Here is a 25420-nt window from a genome sequence, read left to right as displayed (position 1 = left end):
CACATCAGACAAACTCAGATTGAGGGACATTCTATGAAATACCCGACCAGTATTCCTTGAAACTGTAAAGGTCATTAGAAACAAGGAAAATCTAAGAAACTGTCACAGCCAAGAGGAAGTTAAGAAGACATAATGACTAGCTGTAATGTATACTAGATGGGATCCTGGAAGGAAAAAAAAGGACATTAGGGCAAAACAAGTGAAATCTAAAGTGGAGAGTTTGGTTAGTAGTAATGTACCTGTGTTGCTTCCTTAGTCACAACAAATGTACCATCATAATAGTGTTAACTGTGGGGGAAACTAGGTGAGGGAGGTGTATTGAAATTGTTCTGCTTATTCTAAAATAAAAGGTTTATTTGTGAGAAGCACCTTTCAGTGGCGTGAACACATGGATTGGCATGGGCACTCTGCCCATGGGCCTTTTTTTTTTTTTTTTTTTCCTGGAAGTTTAGTTAACCCCACCATAATAGGATCTTTGTAAGAGCACACAGCCAAGAGCTATGTGAGAGCTGTGCGCTCTTAACAAAGAGATGTGTGCCAGTTGGCATTCATGTCTTGACCCCTGACCGTAAAACCAACAAAAAAAAAAAACTATGCTGAACCCCCAAAAAGGTTTTTCAGCCAGCTATTATGCCTAATACTGATGACAGTGCTGAGGAAATGGCATTCTTGTACATTGCAGTGGCATTGTTTAATATTATTCTTATGAAAGGCAGTTTAACAGATCTTTACCAAGATTCTTAAAAATTATATATCCTTTTATTTATTTATTTTTATTTTCTTATTTATTTATTTTCTTTCGAGATGGAGTCTTGCTCTGTGGCCCAGGCTGGAGTGTAGTGGCGTGATCTCGGCTCACTGCAACCTCCGCCTCCCGGGTTCAAGCAGTTCTCCTGTCTCAGCCTCCTGAGTAGCTGGGATTACAGGCACCCACCACCATGCCTGGCTAATTTTTTTGTATTTTTAGTAGAGACGGGGTTTCACCGTATTGGTCAGGCTGGTCTCAAACTCCTGACCTCGTGATCCACCCACCTCGGCCTCCCAAAGTGCTGGATTATAGGCGTGAGCCACTGTGCCCTGCTGGTTTGCCCTTTTAATGTCAGTAATACTGTTTTAGCGATTCTAGTGTAAGTATATGGATGCCCAACAGCATGATTTTTAGTAGTGAAAAATTTTAAACTCTTCAGTTGGGAAACATTGTTATAATGCATCATGTTAAAATTACAGTAGTGAAGACTATGTAGTAATATGAAAAAGTGCTTTTGCTGTAACTTGATAAGAGTCCAAATATTTGAATAGAATTAGTATAACTTAGAATAAGAATTAAAATAACATGTATAAAAGAAAAGCTTCATAGGAATACTCCTAAATACAACAAAATAAATGAGAACTTTTAATATAGAGAAAAGAAAAATTGAGACATTAGTGTCTTAGAGTTGCCATATAGACATGGAAGTAGACTTAATGTTTTTTGTAGCATACAACTAGATCCAGGACTCTTAAGTTATAGGAAGGCAGTTAACCAAATGGCAAGATGGCCTGTTCTTCCAAATTAACCTTCCTGTCTGTTCTTAAAGAAAAACATAATTTAAAAGTCGTGTTTTTTTCTGAAGCAGAACTTCCTTTTTATTTAAAAGCAAGTAGCTTTTATAGGAAAAGAAGAGGTGGTTAGGTATGTGATAAAGCAAAGTGAAATGTTAATTGTAGAATCTCGGTGGTAGGTCTGTGGTCTTAGTAGAGCTTTTCCAACCTTATGTGTCCAAAAAAATAACTCAAAGAAATGTTGAGGTGAAAGTATATAACTCACACCAAATGACTTTTTTTTTTTTTTTCTTTTTGAGATGGAGTCTTGCCCCATCGCCCAGGCTGGGATGTAGTGCTGCAATCTCAGCTCACTGCAGCCTCCACCTCCAGAGTTAAAGTGATTCTTGTGCCTCAGCCTCCTGAGTAGCTGGGATTACAGGCACCCGCCACCACACCCAGCTAATTTTTGTATTCTTAGTAGAGATGGGTTTCACCATGTTGGCCAGGCTGGTCTTGAACTCCTGACCTCAGATGATCTGCCCGCCTTGGCCTCTCAAAGTGCTGGGATTACAGGCATGAGTCACCGTACCCAGCCAAATGGTTTTTTTGTTTTTTGTTTTTTGTTGTTTTTTGAGATGGAGTCTCACTCAGTCACCCAGGCTGGAGTGCAGTGGCGCAATCTCGGCTTACTGCAAGCTCTGCCTCCCGGGTTCACACCATTCTCCTGCCTCAGCCTCCCGAGTAGCTGGGACTACAGGCGCTCACCACCACGCCTGGCTAATTTTTTGTATTTTTAGTAGAGATGGGGTTTCACCATATTAGCCAGGATGATCTCGAGCTCCTGACCTCGTGATCCGCCCGCCTTGGCCTCCCAAAATGCTGGGATTACAGGCATGAGCCACCGCACCCAGCCGCCAAATGGCTTTTTTAAATCGTAAATTACTTTTCTTGATTGAAGTTTTATGCAAAAATTGATCAGGATGATACCTACATGCCAGGTTTTTATATTTGAAACACATAACAAACTGAGCCTTAAAAATTCTGACTAAGCAGACTAGTATATAGGTAAAGAAATATCTAGAAAATGGAGTATTGTGCACAAAGTTTAATTTGGAAATAAATTTGTAAAATAAACTAAAATTAATTTTAGAAACCCTAACTTTGTTTGCTTTGACAATACAATGGAAATTATCAAGTTATAGTTAGAATAGGGGGAGACAAATAATGGTTGTCCTGAAAAGAACCCAAACTCAGACATTAGAGAGTCTTGAGGAGGTTCCATAGTGAATGTTAGGAGCATTATTAGCCTGTGAATCTGATTGGCTGGATTTGAATCCCAGCTCTGGCCACTAGCTGTGTAAGCTGAGATAGTCCCATTGTTGTAAGCCTGAGTGAAAGTGGGGATAATAAATGCAATGCCTGCCACATAAAGTTATGACGTCAAATAGTATACATTTGGTAAAGGCTCACAATTCTTATTATAGTTATTACTATTATTGTTTTACCATTATCATTATCATCATCATTGTTTCTCAAGGCAAAATCTAGCCTCCACCTCTTTATCTGTGTGACCTTGGTCTTTGCTTCTCCAAGATTCAGATTTTCCAGAGCACTGTTACCTCCATCCAGGGTCATTGTGAGGATTAAATGAGAAGTTTATACAGCACCTAGGTCAATGCTTTGTTGATAGTAACTGCTTTTACAGGTTAGCGCAACTAATAAGTCACTAACTCCTCAGCATTATAACATAGGCTTAATAAGTTTAACACCAAGTTCTTTCCTTGGGTGTAAGTTTAGCCTTAAAAGACTTCTAAAGATTTTCCAAAGTTAATGTTCTGTAATTAGCATATATGTAATCAAATAGGACTTTTATGTATATCTCATTCTTTCTTTATAACTTAAATATATATTATCTGGTTACAATTTAACACCCAGTTCTTTCCTTTGGTGTAAGGTTAGCCTTAGAAGACTTTTAAAGATTTTCCAAAGTTAATGTTCTATAATTAGCATATATGTAATCTTATATATTGAACTTTTATGTATATCTATTTCTTTCTTTATAACAAGTATATTTTACCATATCTGTATGTTATTACAAAGTAAATTATCATTATTTTTCAATTAAGAAGAAAACTAAGACTGTAGAACATTGAATGATTTGACCTCCTCAGGTACCTTTTGGTAGGTCTTCTGACTGCAAATGCTGGGTTCCCTCTGTTAAATCATACTACTTCCTGAGAAGAAATAAAAGATAAAGTGGGAAAATTCTGCATCTTAGGCAAGCTAAAGAAAAGTGGTTTAAAAATTATTGCCACTTCAAAAATAACAATGGCAGAATAGAAGGTATCTATTTTTATCACCTCTTGGGATCTTTTTGTGGGGCCAAGGGGAAAGCAGAAAGATACTAAAAGAGATGTTCATGTCCCTTTTTATTCATTTTAATTATTAAAGGGAACAGTGGCTTTGTGATTAATGACTGCTGTTCAGTCTATTTTATATCTTACAAGGATCTGACAGTTTTGTTTTACATTTTATAGCTGCAGCTTATCTTCTGGTGTCCCTTATACCAAGCAATTCATTCCGTCAGATGTTCCGGTCAACAAGGTCTTTGCACATCCCAACCCGTGACCTTCCACTCAGTCCAGACACAACAGTAGTCCTACATCAGGTCTACAACGTGCTCCTTGGTTTGCTCTCAAGAGCCAAACTTTATGTTGATGCTGCTGTTCATGGCACTACAAAGCTAGTGCCCTATTTTAGCTTTATGACTTACTGTTTAATTTCCAAAACTGAGAAGCTGATGTTTTCCACATATTTCATGGATTTGTGGAACCTTTTCCAGCCTAAACTTTCTGAGCCAGCAATAGCTACAAATCACAATAAACAGGCTTTGCTTTCATTTTGGTACAATGTCTGTGCTGACTGTCCAGAGAATATCCGCCTTATTGTTCAGAACCCAGTGGTAACCAAGAACATTGCCTTCAATTACATCCTTGCTGACCATGATGATCAGGATGTGGTGCTTTTTAACCGTGGGATGCTGCCAGCGTACTATGGCATTCTGAGGCTCTGCTGTGAGCAGTCTCCTGCATTCACACGACAACTGGCTTCTCACCAGAACATCCAGTGGGCCTTTAAGAATCTTACACCACATGCCAGCCAATACCCTGGAGTGAGTAAAATTGATACTCTTTTATCTGTATCCTCAAATAGATTGGAAATACCTGTTTTTCCCCTGGTGGGAAGTGGTGGCAGAATATAGAATAGTCTCACCATTCTTTCTTAAGAACTTAATGTGTATTTGTTTTCTTAAATACATATATAAAATGCTGTGTTGTTATAAAATTGATAACTGTGTAGATAACTTTTCTTAGGGTGAAGTTAAAGTTGCATATCCAGTAAAACTTACCTGTTTTTTAATTTGTGGTTTTGTAAATGTATTCTTCATGTGTGCCTAATGAAAAAAGCCAGCTTCATGGTACAGTTTTAAGGAATTGAGTACTTTGCTATTTAAAAATCAGATACTTAGCAAAATCTACATGCTGTGGTAAACTGTGAGCTAGACAATTTTATATCTAAAACTAGTAGTATTCCGCAGTATTTTTTCTCAAGCTGCATCCAAACAAATGAAATGCTTAAGAGATCAATCGAGATACATATATATGCAGTCTAAATTGGGTCCCTTTTACTCTGCACACTTACTTGTAGGTTTTATATTAAGTTTCCTCCCCTCGATGTAAAGCTGTCAAACCTGGTTAATAACTTTTCACTGTTGCCTCTTATTCTCTGTTGTAAACTGTACTTTAAAGACAGACCGTCCTTTATAGACGGTCTTTTTTTTTCTAGATGGTGTAATGAGTTGTATAGAATCTCACACCTGGGAAGAATAACCTAATTTCTAGTCAGAGAAAATTAGAATCCCAGGCCGGCATAGTGGCTCACACCTGTAATTTCAGCACTTTGGAGGCAGAGGCGGATCACTCGAGCCCAGCAGTTCAAGACCAGCCTGGGCAACATGGCAAAACTCCATCTCTACAAAAAATACAAAATTAGCTGGGAGTAGTGGTGTGCACCTATAGTCGCAGCTGCTTGGGAGGCTGAGGTGGGAGGATCGCTTGAGCCCAGGAGGTTGAGGCTGCATTGAGACATTGTACTGCACCCTGGGCAACAAAGCAAGACTCTGTCTCAAAAGAAAAAATCAGAATCCCTACAATGCAGGAAAGAGAGTGAGTGTACAAGTACCAAGAAATTGAAAACCAATGCCATAAGAATACAAAATATCAATCTTTCTGACTTCAAAGGGGTCGGGATAGGATTTATTAAGTTTCAGTAAATTTGTCTCTATCATATTCACATAAATAATATTTGATCTAGTTACTAGATGTGATGTCCAGAATTAAATATACTTTGACAAGTACTAGATGAGTTAGAATTTATCCCTCCATGTTATTTATTGCCCTTGACATCAGTGAAATGTAATGTCTTTTATTGTAGAATGTCCTTATCTATTAGAAATTTTCATGAAAATGGTACTTAAGTCAGTTTTTTGCTTTGAAAAATAAGAAGCTGGGGGTTTCAGTTCATTGACAAGTATGTGTTAGAAGAGCAGTCCTCTCCTGACATGTGCATATGAGTCTATAAAATCACAGCTAGTGATTTTACTAAAATATTTGTTTTTACTTTTTATTCATCAGGAAATTGAACTGAGCATCATTCTAGAAAAGCATTTTAAATGTTGGAACAAAGGTTTACCTCATATACACTATTAATTTAAGGGTTATTTAGGCATTTAAAATCTTTGTGACAAAGTAATGATTTCTCATTAATTAAAGAAAAAGTGGATAGGAGATGGTGTGGCATGCCTCTGGGTTTACATTTGAAGTTACAAAAGTAGTGCTTTAAGCAGTAATAAGACTAAAAATGAATTGTATTCACTTACAGTTTTTACTCTTTCTAAACTTGTATTTTAAGATTTGTTGAGTTCTTTTAGTGTTTATTATTATTGTTATTATTTGTATTTTAGTAGAGACAGAGTTTCATCATGTTGCCCTGGCTGGTCTCGAACTCCTGAGTTCAGGCAATCTGCCCGCCTCTGCCTCCCAAAGTGCTAGGCATCAGCCACTGCGCCCAGCCAAAATTTTTTAAATAGAATTTGTTACTGATTTTATAACTTTCTGAATGGAAGTATAATCTAGCTTATTTGTATAATTTTAAGAGTTGATTAATGAACGTAGAAATGAGAAACTGACCTTCTAAAATGCTATAGGGTTAAAAGATCATATGGCTTATTTGGCTTTTTTAGGCAGTAGAAGAACTGTTTAACCTGATGCAGCTGTTTATAGCTCAGAGGCCAGATATGAGAGAAGAAGAATTAGAAGATATTAAACAGTTCAAGAAAACAACCATAAGTTGTTACTTACGTTGCTTAGATGGCCGCTCCTGCTGGACTACTTTAATAAGGTAAAAAGATGTTTTTAGTTTTGTCTTGTTTATTTCCAGTGAGATGAGGACCATCCTTTTGATGTTTAAAGATAAATCATTTACATTGGGGAAGCATTTGTGCATGTAGCCACTTTGGAACATTTTGAAGGTTCATGAACTACTTTTAAACAGTTTTTGGTCTGGCTTTGGTTTGTATTTGTGTATGTTTTATCATTTTAGGGTTGAAGGGAACCTTTATGTATAGCCTTCTACCCAAAGCTTGAATAGTCTTGTTTATGGCAATTTATCCTAACTCAGGCTTGATAGTTCAGTTCTAGAGGCCTCCAGGAAGTTTTCTGCACCTTTGGATGAGTCTGTTAATATTTTGCATTCTGTTTAGCCCAAATATATCTATCTGGCTTTCTGATCTATATGACTTGGCCAAAATTATAAAACATAGTCTTTATAATTAATTTTCAGAGCTACAGAAGTTATTGAATGGTTACAGGAACTACTACAAATTACCCTTAATTCCCCTTAACCTAGAGAAATAAAGTTCAGGCTAATTTCTTAAATTCTTCTATGTATTACATCTAAGACTTGGAAGTGTTGTTTTTTATTAGGCACATTTTTTTTAATGGTACTTTACTGAAGACTTCACTGTAATATCTTAAGCTACTCAATCTAAGATGAGGTTATTTCAGATTGTCTTCTTTGGAAAGCTTTCAAATGTGAGTCTTCATTAGTAAACAGGGAAATTAACTACGCCTTTGCCGGATTTCTTAAAGGGATTGTTTTTAAATTTTGGATTAATTTTGAATACAATTGTTTTCCCAAAGTTTACTACTTAAAGCTTTATTTCAAAAAAGATTTAGAGCAGCCTGGGCAACATAGTAAAACCCCATCTCTATATAAATAAATAAGTTAGCAAATAAATTAGGGTGTGACGGCATGCACCTGTAGTCCCAGCTCCTCGGGGGGCTGAGGTGGGAAGATCCTTGAGCCCAAAAGGTGGAAGCTGCAGTGAGCCATGATTGTGCCATTGTACTCCAGCCTGGGTGACAGAGCGAGTCTCAAAAAAAGAAAAAAAAGATTTGGAGCTTTCTTAACTCTTCTTGAAAAAGGAAAGGAATAAAGTAGAAGGATTTCCAGTTGTAGTCTATAACAACATTTTTCTGGTATCTAATGAAAGAAGACCTGTTAACAGTAATATAGCTGTGTGAGTAATTATAGTCATGTGTTGCATAACAACAGGGTTACATTCTGAGAAATAAATTTTTAGCCTATTTCATCATTGTGCAAACATCAGAGTGACTACTCACACACAACTAGATAGTAGCGCCTGCTACACCCCTAGGATATATGGTATAGCCAACTGTTCCTAGGCTCTAAATCTGTATAGCATGTTACTACACTGAATACTGTAGGCAATTATAACAGAAAGGTAAGTATTTGTGTATCTAAACGTATTTAAACATAGAAAAGGTACAGTAAAAATATGGAATAAAAGACAGAAAATGGTACACTTGTGTAGGGCACTTACCATGAATGGTGCTTGCAAGACTGGAAATTGCCCTAGGTAAGCCAGTGAATGAGTGGTGAGGGAATGTGAAGGCCTGGGACATTATTGTACCCTACTATAGACTTTATAAACACTGTACACTTAAGCTACACTAAATTTATTTTAAAATACTTTTTCTTCATTATTAATGTACTGAACTTTTTTTACTTTATAAGTTTTTTTAACTTCTTGATTCTTCTATCGTAGCACTTAAAACACACTATCATAACACTTAAAACACACATTTTATAGCTGAACAAAAGTATTTATATCTTTATAAGCTTTTCATATTTAAATTTTTTTTCTTTTTAAATGTTTTCGTTAAAAACTAAGACATAAACACACACAATTAGGCTAGGCCTAGCAGGGTTGGGATCATCAGTATCTCTGTCTCCCACCTCCACATCTTGTCCCACTTGGGAGGTCTTCAGAGGCAGTAACTAGCTTAGAGCTGTCATCTCCTCTGACAATGATGCCTTCTTCTGGAATCCCTCCTGTAGGGCCTGTCTAAGGCTGTTTTACATTTAACTTTTTTTGAAATAAGTAGTAAAATAATGATAATATAGTAAATACATAAACCAGTAACATAGTCATTTATTAACATTATCAAGTATTAGGTACTGTACATAATTGTGGTATACTTACAAGACTGGCAGTACAACAAGTTTGTTTATACCAGCGTCATCAGAGACATGTGGGTAATGCATTGTGAATGTTACCATGGCTATGAAGTCACTAGGCTAATAGGAATTTATCAGCTCCATTATAATCTTATGGGACCACCATTGTGTTTGTGATCCATCATTTACCACAATTTCATTTTGTGGCACATGACTGTATTTTATAAACTATTTTCAAGGCTGACACGTTTTTAGTATTTTTTTCCTTCATGTTACTCTTTTTTAATTACCAGCTGATGAGTGTTTAGATAATATGGTGAATTTTATGATTATCCAGAATTTAACAATCAGAAGATGAGCCTATTATAAAAATCAACATTGTTTATGTGGAAACTTTAAAAATATTCCCATATCTTCTGCCATTGTAGATAATTAGCAGTTGATTAGATATTAATAGACTTTTTTTTAGTTAGAGTTTATTTAATATTATTTCCTTATGCTGCATTTCCAGGAAACAGATGAAGCAGTCTCTTTTCTGTAGGTAGGAAAGCAGAGAGCTTAAATGATGATTTTATTTCTTTTTATTTTTTCATCACCTAAGTGTTGTGTTCTTATTCAGACTTCTCAAACTGAACTTTATGTTTTCTTCTAGTGCCTTCAGAATACTATTAGAATCTGATGAAGACAGACTTCTTGTTGTATTTAATCGAGGATTGATTCTAATGACAGAGGTAAATATTCTATTGCATTTTACTGTGGATATTATCTCATTTTAATGTTCTCACCAAGACTTACTTTATAGACATTTAGAGTTTATGGTAAACTGTTTTACAGGTGGCAAGGTTTTAATTATATAGATCAGTAAACCTGAATTTATATCCCAAGAATAATTAGGTCATAATTTTTAGGGTGCTGTTCCTTTTTCCATAGTAATTCCATACTTTTCCCATTATTTTGTATTTAGAACAGCCATTTGAAATAGACTAGTTTTATTCATTTGTAGGGACAAAAATGAAATACATGTGATTTCATTAAGGGCACACATAATTTCCCAAAAGCCTACTTATTTGACAGTATAGAAACTGAGGTTACCATTGTGAACCCGGAAAATCTGAGACAGGTCTCAGTTAATTTAGAAAGTTTATTTTGCCAAGGTTGAGGACGCGCCCGTGACACAGCCTCAGGAAGTCCTGATGGCACGTGCCCAAGGTGGTTGGGACACAGCTTGATTTTATACATTTTAGGGAGACATGAGACATCAATCTGTATGTAGGAAGTACATTAGCTCTGTCCAGAAAGGCAGAGACAACCCAAAGCAAGGCCTCTCCTTCCTCTGGGGCCTTCCTGGTCACAGGTATGTGAGAGACAGATGGTTGCGTTCTTTTGAGTTTCTGATAAGTCTTTCCAAAGGAGGCAATCAGAATATGCATCTATCTGGGTGAGCAGAGGGATGACTTTGAATAGTATGAGAGGCCGATTTGCCCTGAGCGGTTCCCAGCTTGAAGGGGCCCAAGATATTTTCCTTTCACACCATCCTCAGAGGAAACCAGAAGGACTATTACAGGGTTAAAATCAGCTGTTTATGCTTCCTATAATTCTTGAACATCCACAAGTATGAGATGGCTGCAGAGTCACCAGAGGTACGTGAGCCCTTTAGTCTGATAAACATGCCAAGAGTACCATAAGAATTCACAGGTAGGATGTTTTTTCAGTTAATGATAATAAAAAATAAGAGAACAGGTTTGCACTTTGAAGAATGTGGATTTGCAAAGGTAAGGGGGAAAACATTTAGATAAATGACAATAAGCACTGAGGCAAAGAAATATTGGTTATGTTTGAGGAAGGCTAAGTATTAAAAAAAAGGTAGGTGAAGAGGAGTAGTAAGAATTTCATTCTTTAAAATGCAACAGATGTTTATGCTGCTTTGGTTGTATTTTTAGAAAAAAAAAATTTTTTTTTAATGCAACAGATGTTTAAATGTCTACCTCTGTGCCAAGCACTGTGGTAGGTACTAGGGACACAGCAGTGAACAAGACATACTGGTTTCTGTCCCCACAGCTTACAAGTTACATACTGTACAAGTACATTGTTCATATTAGGTACTGCTGCAGGTTCTGGGCTAAGAATTTTAACATTTGAACTGTGGGTATTACAGTGTGTAAGCTGTAGTGAACTGGTGGAAGAGGATTCAAAGAAGGGTGCTGTATAGTAAAATAGGAAAAAAACTAAGGGCTTAATTAAGCTAATACAGTTAAAGGAATTAAAAGATTTAACAAGCCAATATAAAGGAAATGAATTCCTACCTTTTGCAGCTCTTTTTACCTCTTTCAGGCCTACTCTTTTGAGTATGGCTGACAGTCACTTTACCATTGTCTTTGGACAGAGACCCTGGAAAGTTGGTTAAAGCAGTTGCCTATTCTCCCTAATCTTTTGTGACCTACTGCTTTGTAATTTTGAAGACTTAACAATCTTAGAGCAAGTACTTTTTTAAAAAAATGTGATTAAACTATTTCTTCAGACTAGAATATACACACAAAATAGCAGAGCTCTGAAGGTGAGGAATGTTTAAAAGAGCTTAATGAGAGTTTAACTTCAGGATAGAAAGCAAATACGTTTGCTTTGCACACATGTGCACACACAGTCTGAGTCTGAAAACATCTATCGTAGAGGACGAGTACTACCATTTTGTGGCTCAGTAAGCAAAAATGAAATTAAGTTTTCAATTTTTTCAAATCATTTGTAGTCTTTCAACACTTTGCACATGATGTATCACGAAGCTACAGCTTGCCATGTGACTGGAGATTTAGTAGAACTTCTGTCAATATTTCTTTCGGTTTTGAAGTCTACACGCCCTTATCTTCAGAGAAAAGGTTTGCTCATTCCTACTTCTTATGTTTTGTTCGTGCTACTAGTAAAGAGAGAGAAGGTTTTAAAATCATGTGCCCCAGAGAAATTGTTTTTATCCTAGTTTATGCACAGAAGATGAGGCTGAAGCTAGCTAACCATCAGGAAATGTTTGTCATGAACTCCTGATGTAAAGCTGGAAGGCTCTTTTATGTTTTTGTACCTGCCTGAAAAATACGCAAGCAGGTATCAAGATTTCAGAGATTGGAAAACATTTCCAAACACAGTAACAAGCTGGGCACTTTGTAAAGATTCTCCAGCTGGAAACTTCTTTGGCTTAGATTAGATCATTTGCAGTTTCATGCGAGATGACTATAAAACCTACCTGTCTTATGTCCCTATAAGATACTGTGAACTCTGAACTTCTTCATATACATTCCTAGAAAGTGGGACATATTATCAATGAAATATGTTCTTTAAGAAATCTAGCAGGTTTAACATTAGTAGTAATCATCTCATGAAAATGACTTAGCTTTCACTGAAGATGTTTTTGTAATTAACCTGAATTTCTAGCATTAGCATTCTGTAGTTTACAGTAGAAAACATTTGTGAGGAAGTTTGATCTCAGATGGCATATTTATATGTGCTTTTATATTTGCAGATGTGAAACAAGCATTAATCCAGTGGCAGGAGCGAATTGAATTTGCCCATAAACTGTTAACTCTTCTTAATTCCTATAGTCCTCCAGAACTTAGAAATGCCTGTATAGGTAAGTTACTTGAAAAATTCACCCGTGTAAAAACCTAGTGGAAGAACATTGTTGTGAGTTTTTCCGTGATGTTAAGCCTGTAGTGTTTGAAAGATACTTGTGCTTTTTATGTGTAACTCACACTAGCTAGCAGGTCCTAAGAAAATAAAGAAAATTTCTTAACTGGCTCATAATTACATTACCCACATGATAATGGGCAGATTACTTAATATATACAGTCTCCCCGACCTTAGTTCATCTCTAGCTTCCTCCAGCTCTAAAATCTTGTTATCCTATGTAAGCAAGGTTGAACCATATAAATGTTTACAAGGTAGAACTGACATTCTAAAGGATAAGAGTACTTATTTCACTGTGAGTTCTTTTGCCTAAAGATACTTCTCAGTAGCTGTCCTTAGGCTCTGAGTATTGCATCTTTTTATTGATTGCATATTTATAATAAAATGCTAATTTGTGGCTTTTAAAAGACACCCATTATAAATTTATAGTGATTTTTTTTTCACTACATTAGAAACTTCTCGAGAGACCGTAACTATTTTACACTTTCTCAAAATAGCATGGATAACTAACTGGCTGTCATATATAAGCAGTCCGTCTTGACGTTCTGTGCAATTACTTCTCTAGCAAGAGGGGAAGGGCACACAAGCAGTAACCTATGATCACCAGAAACTGCCTATAGCCTGTCATCGTGAGATTTATTCCTTCCTGTGTGATTGGAGATTGAGAATCAGTCCAGCCAGCATCGTAAAACATTAAAAGTAGATTAAGGATTATCCCTCAAAGCAAAGGAACTTTGAACCTTAGTTTTCTTTCTAAGCTGTTTTGGTTGATTTTATGAGACACATAATCAACGTACATTAAATAATCTGGGCTGGCTCATGCCTGTAATCCATGCAGTTCGGGAGGTCTAGGCAGGAGGGGATTGCTCGAGACCAGGAATTCAAAAGCAGCCTGGGCAACATAGCAAGACCTCATCTCTACAAAAACAAACAAAAAAAATAGCTGGGTGTGGTGGTGCATGCCGGTAGTTTCAGCTACTTGGGAGCCTGAGGCAGGAGGATCACTTGCACCCAGGAGCTCAAGGCTGTAGTGAGCTGATTGCACCACTGCACTCCAGCCTGGGAGACCAAAAAAAAATCCCTCACTGTATGTTGCCAGAAAATATCTCATACTTAAAACAAAATACCAATAAATAGTGTTTTAATCTTTTGTTTCCAAATGATGCCCTATTGTCGTTAATAACTCTGTTGATCTAAACTTGATTGAGCATAAGACAGAATTTCTACTCGTGTCAGGAGCTTAGTTTTAGACTCATTAAACTGGTTGTAGTGAGGCAATCATAGGATTTGTAAGATGGAAAGTAGTAGGCAGATATAACTCTTAATTTTTTGCTACCCAAACTTTGTTTTTATTTTCAGATGTCCTCAAGGAACTTGTACTTTTGAGTCCCCATGATTTTCTTCATACTCTGGTTCCCTTTCTACAACACAACCATTGTACTTACCATCACAGTAATATACCAAGTACGTATTTATCTAGCACAGTACTTCAATATGGTTCGCATTTAATCGTTCTGCACACTGAAGCATGGAGATTTATTTTTTCCATTTATTCTTACTGTACACTTTTAATATCTTAGTGTCTCTTGGACCTTATTTCCCTTGTCGAGAAAATATCAAGCTAATAGGAGGGAAAAGCAATATTCGGCCTCCGCGCCCTGAACTCAATATGTGCCTCTTGCCCACAATGGTGGAAACCAGTAAGGTATGTTGGGATGCCAGGAAAATCCATGTTGCTATAGTACAAAGTAATTTGAAATTTTTCCCCTGGCAGTTATGAATAGGTTAGACTTAAGTGACCAATTTTGTGGATCCTAAGAAGATTAGATTCATTTGGACTTTTTCCTTTTAGTGCTCTGAAATGTTGGTTGAACATTTGCAAAAATCAACAATAAGCACAAGTAGTAAGTTTTTTTTCCCCCTCAAAAATTACCTTAATAGTAAGTCTTAATATTTGTCACTAGGCTAAATTATAACTGGGTCATATATCTAAATTTGAAAAGTCATTAGGTACTGTTTTTTTTTTTTTAATTTGGCCATATAATCAATGACTTCTTCTACTTCCCTTAAATTATATTCCTTTGACCTAAGCATAATATTGATTGATAGATTTGTCATCATTTTTAGTCTGGTTCCTTTCTTCTAACTCATATTCTAAAATAATGCCAATTCTAAATTATAGAGACAAGGTACATTGATACAGGATAATTTATCTTAGTTTCAACTTTTTTAAAAACAATTTTTCCCTTTATCTTTCTTTACCCACACTTCATTCACACTCTCCCTTGCTTGCCATCTTCGGATTTTCAGTATACTTGAGAAGTTCTTATAAGATAAAATATTTAAAATAATTAACATTACAGGAATAACTTGGAATCTATTTCAAAAGTCAAACTTAATTCATTTTTCTTGATATGTCTGTAGAGCTAAAGTGTCACATTTTAAAATCCTACAGTAATTTTACTTTATTAAAGTATATAGAAATAATGGGTAATTTTAATTCATAGCATTTGCACACTGAAAATAAACTTACGACAATTAAGATCATAACATTACTAGAAATTTGGATTTTAAAACTAGGTTCTTATAGAATATAAATATTGAATCAGCTTTTTAGTTAAACTTATTACATTTGCACAAAATATGCTCTTTATTATACAATTTAAGTGCAACCATTTTATCATCTTTAACCTTCAGGGCAAAGATGACGTTTATGATCGTATGCTGCTAGACTACTTCTTTTCTTATCATCAGTTCATCCATCTATTATGCCGAGTTGCAATCAACTGTGAAAAATTTACTGAAACATTAGTTAAGCTGAGTAAGTATAAAAGATGAGCAGTAAATTCCACTGAATTATTTTAAGCCCCTAGTCATTCAGGAAGGGGAGAAAAATTATGAGACAATCCTTTTTTTCTTTTTTTAAAGTGAATGCTTAAAAATATTAATATTCTTGGGAACATTTTAATTTTCATTAAGAAAACACCAACTTACTGGTTTCCATTGAATAGTTCTGCCCAGAGTTTCAGCTGGCCTATAAAGGAGTGTGGAGTAGGGCTGATCACTTCTGTACATAGAAGCCCACATCCTCCACCATCTGCCCAGCAGATTCTGAAAACAAAAAACAAAACTGCTCTGCTTAGGGAGGCAGGCGTAGAGGTGGACTCCCCAGCCCTGCTCTTGAGGGTGCGATGAGATCTATAGTGCCAGCTGTGCTTTGGAGCTGGCAATGGCAAGAGCAGTGGGCTTGCCAGTGTGAAGCAGAGGTGCATATATGAGTAATTAGGAGGTAAGTCTCATAAAATAGGTGAGTGAGAAGAAGAGAAACTTGAAAACGGAGATGATGAGAAACAGAAAACAAAACCATCAGTGAATTATGTGGCGGGGGGTCTCGAATATCTTTAGTAATATTGTCTCTGCAGTAATGTGCCTAAGAGCTGTTAGAGAACTGCTCCCTTTGGGTAACATTCCTATAGCTGATAAGTTTTTCAGAGACATGCAGCTCTCCTCCAGAGGTCCTCTATCTCAGGACTTCCAGAGTTCTAGGCGTCTGTGTCCTCCCTCTTGACTTCATTAGGGATGGGCCAGGATCCTCTCCAATGTTCTATAGTTTTCAGAGTGGGACGTGAAATACTTGCGGAACTACTACCCAGATCAAGAAATAAAATATTGCCATACCCTGCAAGTCCTTCTTTGTGCCCCTCATCAGTCGTAGCCCTCTCCTTCCTATGGAAAAGGTTTTGATACATTCCAGGTAGGGCAGAAGATGTGACCCTACCTTAGAATTCATTATCCAAGAAGAAGAAAGTGGTAACAGCTGTCAGGGATAATTCCACTTCAGCAAAACCATCTTATTGGCAAGTGATTAGAGCATTTTTAGATTTGAAAGCTGGTTCCTGGTAACCTGGTATTATTAGCTGGTTTTATATATGGATGGCTGGAATGCCAAGATGTAGGGGGATGAGAATATATTCAGATTGGCCGTTTCAGGATTATGCACCTGGGTCATGGTACTTGGTAAAAGGCCAAAACCCATCATTGGCAGTAATCAGGTGTAAGAAAATATCCAGGAGTTCTAGTAGTACAGCCTTGCTCCCATATAAAGAAGGGTAATTATAAAAACACTTTTTAAAAAATTTTTGGTAATTGTGTTCATATAATTTATACTAAAAGTTACGTGAGGAACTATTCTAGCTACTCGGACAGCTTTAACCAAATATTGAATGTTCTACCCTGTTTTGGGTTGTCTTGTCAACCCAAGTGCACACTTTCAGGGGAATTAAACATGGTGGAGAAATGGAAGAAAGGAAAGAATACTTGCCGTCACATCAGCTGAATCAGCTTTTGTGATTCAGTCTTATCACTTTTGTAACCATGAAGCACTATCAATGTTGCCTCATAGGGTTTAGTTCTCTATATTAGCACTATTTTATAGAACTTTCTATAAGGGCCGGACGTGGTGGCTCACGCTTGTAATCCCAGCACTTTGGGAGGCCAAGGCGGGCGGATCACGAGGTCAAGAGATCGAGACCATCCTGGCCAACATGGTGAAATGTCTCTACTAAAAATAAAAAAATTAGCTAGGCATGGTGGTACGTGCCTGTAGTTGCAGCTACTTGGGAGACTGAGAGGCCAGAGAATTGCTTGAACCTGGGAGGCGGAGGTTGCCGTGAGCCGAGATCAAGCCACTGCACTCCAGCCTGGTGACTAAGCGAGACCCAGTCTCAAAAAAAAAAAAAAAAAAAAAAACTTTCTATGAGGATGGAAATATTCTTTGACTGTACCACCATGCATAGTAGTCAGTAGCCCATCATTTGTGAGTGTTGAGAACTTGAAATGTGACTAAGGAACTGAATTTTTACTTTAATTTTAACCAAAATAAATTTAAATAGCCAAATGTGACTGGTGGCACAGCATTAAATATAAATCAAAACCTCCACAAATTGAGCAAGAAAAAAATTTTTCTTGGTTAATACAGAAAATTGGACATTGTCTTAGATACAAAGTTCTTAGGTCTTAGACAAAGACCTAAGAACTTTCCTATTGTTTCCTAAAAACAATCCTATCATTAATGCCTCCTATAAATGGAAAGAGTTGTGTCCCACAGTTTGAGCTGACCGAATGACTGTTTCCAAGGAGAGGCCCAGGAAAGGGCTTGAGAAAAGAAAGTCCACATTAATGACCACACAGAGTTGGTAGAGAATTTTAATTTGTATAATTTCTTCAAGAAATTATATTTGGCAACAAGAAATGAAAAGGGTAAGTTTAAATTGGTTATATCTTTAATCATTTGAACGTTGAGGTTACATGTCCAAGGGCCACAATATTAAAATATTGTGACCATTGGTGAGAACATCTCAAGACCTATAATGGATTGCAAGTCATTTCCAGTTATGAGGAAAAGTCTTTGTGGTAATTTTTATATGGGCAACTGAGCAGATCTTAAGATTGGTTAGAGGATAAAGAGAAATATATAATAATTACAGATTTGAATTGCAGAGAACAGTAGAGTTGCAGATACTAAATAATAAGCGAGAGGGTTGGAGTGTTTTTGAAGTGAGGATGGTGAGGGGATGGGGTTGGAGGAAACGGAAAGAAAGGGAAAGAGAATTCAGGAAGGGTGAACAAAGCTGCCAACTGCCATCTGAAAAAAACTGTGTCGGCAAGTATTTTGATACTTAAAAACAGCAGAAGCCTGGGCAACATGGGGAGACCCCTTCTCTACAAAAACATTTTTTTTAATTAGCCACATGTGGTGTCACACACCTATGGTCCCAGCTACTCAGGAGGCTGAGGTGGAAGGATCACTTTAGCCCAGGAAGTCAAAGCTGCAGTGAGCTGTGATCACACCACTATACTCCAGCCAGGGCAACAGAGAGAGACCCTGTCTCTCTGCATGCGCACACACACAGGTTTAGCCTAAAAAAGCTCTCGAAAAAGAGCAATGGTAAGAGGGACTGGCACTGCTGATGTGTAAAATACTTAGTAAAGTTATGGTAGTTTTTATTTTATTTTTTAGAATTTAATAGATACTTCACAGTTCAAAATATCAGAAAGATAAATATCAAGATATCACAGACCTTTTCTCACCATTTTTATTTTTTATTTGTCCTTTTTTCAAATGTAGATGTTTTTCTCCCTTATTTCACAACAGTAAACTATAATGATTAAAACCATGTAGTATAGGTTCAGAAATACATAGGCAAAGCAGTGGGTAAATAGCCTCAACAAACATAAAGATACATGAGGACTTGGTAGATGATAAAGATGACATCCCAAATTGGTGGGAAATTGGTGGGAAATAGGTGGTAGTGACATAACTGGTTAGCTGTCTATGGGGCAAATCTTTAATATGTCACTCTTTAGACCAAAATTAATACCAGGAGGATTAAAGACTTCATTGGGGGCAGGGCACAGTGGCTTGCGCCTATAATCCCAGCACTTTGGGAGGCCGAGGTGGGTGGATCACCTGAGGTTAGGAGTTCGAGACCAGCCTAGCCTACATGGCAAAACCCTGTCTCTACTGAAAATACAAAAATTAGCTGGGCGTGGTGGCGGGCACTTGAAATCCCAGCTACTCGGGTGGCTGAGGCAGGAGAATCGCTTGAGCCTGGGAGGCGGAGGTTGCAGTGAGCCGAGATGGCGCCATTGCACTCCAGTCTGGGTGACAAGAGTGAAACTCCGTCTCAAAAAAAAAAGGACTTAATTGTGAAAAAAATCATTGAAATATTAAAGGAAAACATAACATCACATGAATACCACCATGAGATTTGAAAGACCATGCTACCTAGGACACAAAACCCAGAAACAATAAGAAGTTGAAAGTTTTGACTACATAAAAATTGAAAATACTACATGGTGAAAATGCCATAAACTGAATTAAAACACAAACAGCTAATTGGGAAAATGTTTGCATACTTAACAGATAAACAGCCAACACTGCCAATATATACCAAATTTTTAGGATTTGGTAAGATGATGAAGAACGTTAAGTAAAATCAGCAAAGGACATGAATAGGCAGTTTAGACACAAAAAAGTGTTTGGTAACCACATGAGAAGTTGCCCAGACTTACTAATAAAGCAAACAATTTGAGACAGAGTGTCACCCTGTCGCCCAGGCTGGAGTGCAGTGGTGTGACCTTGGCTCACTGCATCCTCCACCTCCCGGGTTCAAGCAATTCTCCTGTCTCAGCCTCCCAAGTAGCTGGGACTACAGGTGCCCACCACCACACCCGGCTAATTTTTGTATTTTTATTAGAGATGAGGTTTCACCATATTAGGCAGGCTGGTCTCGAACTCCTGACCTCGTGATCCGTGTGCCTCTGCCTCCCAAAGTGCTGGGATTACAGGCATGAACCACTGCACCCAGCCTATTTCTCTCTCTTAAAAAAAAAAAAAAAAAGTCTATCAGATAGGGTGAAGCTCAGATGATACCCATATGGTTTGGGGAAAGAAGAGATCTTATAATGGAGTACTAGTCAAGAGTCCATTTGGGAGGCAATTTGGCCTCCCAATATACAGAGGATATTTATTTTCACTTTGGTTGTAATGGGTAAAAACTGGAAACAACCCAAATGTCTATCAGTAGGAGCTTGGTTAAGTAAACCATAGTTCACCTATATTGAGACATGAAAACAAATAAGACAGGCATGTTCATTGAATTACATAAAAATGTAAAAATAATATGCAGAATATAAACATTCTTATAAACAAGGGGAAAATCGCTCTTAGTACATGTACAGAAAAAAGTAGAGGAATTTTACTCTATAAGGATGAAATTATAGAATGCTTTCATTTTCTAGGTTAAATATATCTGTAAGGTTTAAATTAATTGTAATGATTATGCATTGGTTTTGTAATTTTAATAAGTTATTTTAATATTATGGAAAACTGGTACTGCCGGCCCGGCACAGTGGCTCATACCTGTAATCCCAGCACTTTGGGAGGCTGAGGCAGGCAGATCACCAGGTCAAGAGATCGAGACCATCCTGGCCAACATGGTGAAACTTTGTCTCTATTAAAAATACAAAAATCTAGCTGGGCGTGGTGGCGCACGCCTGTAGTCCCAGCTGCTTGGGAGGCTGAGGCAGGAGAACCGTTTGAACCTGGGAGGTGGAGGTTGCAGTGAGCTGAGATGGAGCCACTGCACTCCAGCCTGAGCAACAGAGTGAGACTCTGTTCCCCCCACCAAAATAGAAGGCGGGCTTGGTGACATGCACATGTAGTCCCAGCTACTCAGGAGGCTGAGGCAGGAGGATCACTTGAGCCCAGGAGTTCAAGGTTACAATGAGCTGTGATTGGGCCACTGCACTACAGTCTGGGCAACAGAGCAAAATCCTGTCTCAAAAGAGAGAAAGTAAGTATTAAGTAAACAATAGTACAGGTGATGGCAGATGTGAAGAAAATCATGAAAATGCTAACAAATGGACTGAAGTTGCGGAAAACATTGAAAAGCTTATGGGCTTTGGAATCAGATAAATCTGGGGTAGACTACAGTCTTAACTATATCAATACTGACTTTGGAATGAATTTGAGAGGATTATATAATCTCTGTGAGCCTAATTTCCTCATCCAAAAGAAGCGCAAAATTAGGATAAAACGATGGCTCTCAAAATTGATGAGAAAATTTAATATAATGATCTGACATACCTAGAAAATGTTCATTTCCTTCTTTAATTGTTGTTGTTTTGAGACAAAGTCTCACTCTGTCCCCCAGGCTGGAGTACAGTGGCACAGTTTCGGCTCACTGCAACCTCTGCCTCCAGGGTTCAAGTGATTTCTCCTGCCTCAGCCTCCTGAGTAGCTGGGATTACATGCCCAACTAATTCTTGTATTTTATTTTTTTTAAATAGAGTGGGGGTTTCACTATGTTGGCCAGGCTGGTCTTGAACTCCTAACTTCAAGTGATCCACCAACCTTGGCCTCCCGAAGTCCTGGGATTATAGGCGTGAGCCACCACGCCTGGCCTATTTCCATCTTTACTTGTAAAATAGAGATACTTATAACAGAATACCACTTCAAAGTGATTAGAGATCATAAAAGGCCTCTATGGTATTTTTTTGTTTGTCGTGGTAGTGCTGGCTTCTTGGTAGTTGTGGAAAATAGATATAGAGATTGCTTTATATTTAGCTGGATGTGATGACTCACACCTGTAATCCCAGCACTCCGTAAAACCGAGGCAGCTGGATCACTTGAGCCCAGGAGCTCAAGACCAGACTGGGCAACACGGCAGAACCCTGTCTCTACAAAAAATAGAAAAATCAGCTGGGCATTGGAAGCACACACCAGTAGTCCCAGCTACTCGAGAGGCTGAGGTGGGAGAATCATCTGAGCCTGGGAAAGTCGAGGCTGCAGTGAGCCAAGACGATGCCACTGCAACATGCTTTGGGCAACAGAGTGAGACTGTCTAGAAAGGAAAAAAAAAAAATTGTTTAGGGCTGGGTGCCATGGCTCATGCCCATAATCCTAGCACTTTGGGAGGCCAAGGCAGGCGGATCACTTGAGCTCACGAATGGGAGATCAGCTTGGGCAACTTGGTGAAATCTCGTCTCTACAAAAAATACAGAAATTGGCCGGGCGCGGTGGCTCACGCCTGTAATCCCAGCACTTTGGGAGGTCAAGGTGGGTGGATCACGAGGTCAGGAGATCGAGACTATCCTGGCTAACACAGTGAAACCCCGTCTCTACTAAAAATACAAAAAAAAAAAAAAAATTAGCCAGGCATGGTGGCGGGCACCTGTAGTCCCAGCTACTTGGGATGCTGGGGCAGGAGAATGGCATGAACCCGGGAGGTGGAGGCTGCAGTGAGCCGAGATCGCGCCACTGCACTCCAGCCTGTGCGACAAAGCGAGACTCCGTCTCAAAAAAAAAAAAAAAAAAAAAAAAAAAAATCGTGCATGGTGGTGCATACCTGTAGTCCCAGCTACTCAGGAGACTGAGCTGGGAGAACGGCTTGAGCCCAGGAGGCGGAGGTTGCAGTGAGCTGAGATCGTGCCACTGTCCTCCAGCGTGGGTGATAAGAGCCAGACCTTGTCTCAAAAAAAGAAAAAAAAATTGAAGATTATTTTACTTTGGGGGGATAGTAGGGGAGAAATGACTAGAGAAATTGTAGTATACAGTCTGCTTGCCCATAAGAGGGTTAATGTCAGAGCAGCCTCTAGTTCAGAGGTTAGTGGGTTAGCAGACTCTTTTTGCAAAGAGGGGACACTATATATTTTAGACTCCACAGGCCACAAGGTCTCTGTAACATACTGTTTTTTGTTTGGCTAATGGTTTTTTTGTTTTGTTTGAGACAGAGTCTGGCTCTGTCACCCAGGCTGGAGTGCAGTGGCACAATCTCGTCTCATTGCAACTTCTGCCTCCTGGGTTCAAGTGATTCTCCTGCCTCAGCCTCCTGAGTAGCTGGGATTACAGGTGCGTGCCACCACGCCTGGCTAATTTTTGTATTTTTAGTAGAAACGGGGTTTCACCATGTTGGTCAGGCTGGTCTCGAACTCCTGACCTCATGATCTGCCTGCCTTGGCCTCCCAAAGTGCTGGGGTTACAGGCATGAGCCACTATGCCCAGCCTGGCTGATTTTTTTTTTTTTTTTTTAACCTTTAAAAATGTAAAAGCCAGCCGGATATGATGGCTCATGCCTGTACTCCCAGCACTTTCAAAGGCCAATGCAAGAGGATGAATTATGCCAGGAGTTTGAGACCAGCCTGGGCAACATGGCAAGACCCCATTTCTACAAAACTTTTTGAGAGAGTTTGCTCTGTCACCCAGACTGGAGTGCAGTTGCATAATCTTGGCTTACTGCAACCTCTGCCTTACGGGTTCAAGCAGTTCTCCTGCCTCAGCCTCCTGAATAGCTGGGATTACAGGTGTGTGCCACCACACCCAGCCAATTTTTGTATTTTTAGTAGAGACGGGGTTTCATTATTCTCCTGCCTCGGCCTCCCAAAGTGCCGGGATTACCAGCGTGAGTCACCATACCTGGCCCAAAACTTTTTTTTTTTTTTTTTTTGACAGAGTTTCACTCTTGTTGTCCAGGCTGGAGTGCAATGGCACGATCTCGGCTCACCGCAACCTCCGCCTGCCGCGTTCAAGCAATTCTCCTGCGTCAGCCTCCCAAGTAGCTGGGATTACAGGGATGTGCCACCACGCCCTGCTAGTTTTGTATTTTTACTAGAGACGGTTTCTCCATGTTGGTCAGGCTGGTTGCGAATTCCTGACCTCAGGTGATCCGCCCACCTTGGCCTCCCAAAGTGTTGGGATTACAGGCATGAGCCACTGCGCCTGGCCCCAAAATATTTTTTTAAGAAAATTGTCCCAGCCTGCAGTCTTAGCTACTACGGAGGCTAAGGTGTAAGGATCACTTGAGCACAGCGGTTCAAGGCTGCCCCTGATCTGTGATCACGCCACTGCACTCCAACCTGGGCAACAGAGTGAAGACACTGTCTGTCTCAAAGAAAAAGCCATTCTTAGCTCACAAGTCCATATAAAAACAGGCCATGGGTCAGATTTGGCCTGAGGGCCATAGTTTGCTAACCCTTCCTCTACTTTGATGAGTAATTAGGATACAGGAACATGGGAACGTAGGAACTCTCTTCCCTATAGCCACAGATGTGATGACATGTCCTTGTTTACCTATGTGTGTGGTGATACCGTGGTGGGTATATGCTGCCAAACACCAACCAGATTAGGTTAGGATAAAGGGGAAGTAGCATTTCCTTGCCTCTTGTGTCTAAAGGGACTCATCTTGACAGGAAAATAAATTGGCTTACCTGTGGAAGGGATCCTAGGCATCCTTGGTAAGTTCTGAGTGAGTGACCTGACTTGCCTGTGTAGGATGTTCTCAAGTCCTTGGTCTAACCCACGGTTTGGCAAATTACAACCCACATGCTGCCTGTTTTTGTATAACCATGGCTACCTGCTAGCTAAGAATAGTTTTCATATTTTTAAATTTTTTTTTAATATAGAATATTTTCTGACATGAAAATTATGAGATTCCCATTTCAGTGTTTGTAAAGTTTTACTGAAAGACAGCCACACCCATTTCCTTACTCTTGTCTAAGGCTGCCTTCACACTGCCTCAGCAGGGTTGAGCTGTGTTAACAGAGCATGGCCACAAAGCCTCAAACACTATTTGGCCCTTCCCAGAACAAGTTTGCTGACTCCTTGTCTAACTCAGTCTTTTCTTAACTGGAAGAGGATGGTCTGTGTTATATTTCTTCTTCTCCATGATTATACTTGCCCTGGGGACCCTAGGGGATGTGGAAGATGGGAAATTCATTTAGGACTGTGGTAATGAAGCTTCTGTACTTTCAGAGATAGGATGACAGAGGATAGGGGCACACATCTTAGTGACATATTTTACATCTGGAATAGTCAAGAAGTGGAGAAGTAAATTCATAGAGGTTCCAAATAGCACTCTCTGACATAGTGCCAGATGCGGTCCACTCAGAAGATCCTGGGAACAAGCCAAGAAACTGGTGTTAAGGGCCGCATTTACTTAAATGTACCACAAAGGTCATTCTATCTTTGAAGAAAGAAGGTAAAAGAGGAAAGATATGTTTAATTCTCCACTTTTTTTTTTTTTTTTTTTTTTTTACCTTTCCCCTCCTCCCTCCTGCAGTCTAG

General features: G+C 38.7%; 1 protein-coding gene across 1 annotated transcript in view; it reads left to right on the top strand.

Annotated features, from left to right (window-relative positions):
* USP34 (ubiquitin specific peptidase 34) overlaps window positions 1-25420 on the top strand; it is a 283625-nt gene that overhangs the window by 252332 nt on the left and 5873 nt on the right. The window contains exons 68-75 of the mRNA NM_014709.4: window positions 4062-4696; window positions 6827-6984; window positions 9779-9857; window positions 11870-11996; window positions 12632-12739; window positions 14155-14259; window positions 14376-14500; window positions 15493-15616. Of these exons, the coding sequence (NP_055524.3) occupies window positions 4062-4696; window positions 6827-6984; window positions 9779-9857; window positions 11870-11996; window positions 12632-12739; window positions 14155-14259; window positions 14376-14500; window positions 15493-15616 (1461 nt within the window). The remainder of the gene's footprint in view (window positions 1-4061; window positions 4697-6826; window positions 6985-9778; window positions 9858-11869; window positions 11997-12631; window positions 12740-14154; window positions 14260-14375; window positions 14501-15492; window positions 15617-25420) is intronic.

Source organism: Homo sapiens, chromosome 2 (genome assembly GCF_000001405.40).
Source record: "Homo sapiens chromosome 2, GRCh38.p14 Primary Assembly".
In the NCBI taxonomy this organism is placed as follows: Eukaryota; Metazoa; Chordata; class Mammalia; order Primates; family Hominidae; genus Homo; species Homo sapiens.
Note: the sequence above shows the minus strand (reverse complement) of the source record. Positions and strands in the feature narration are given on the sequence as shown.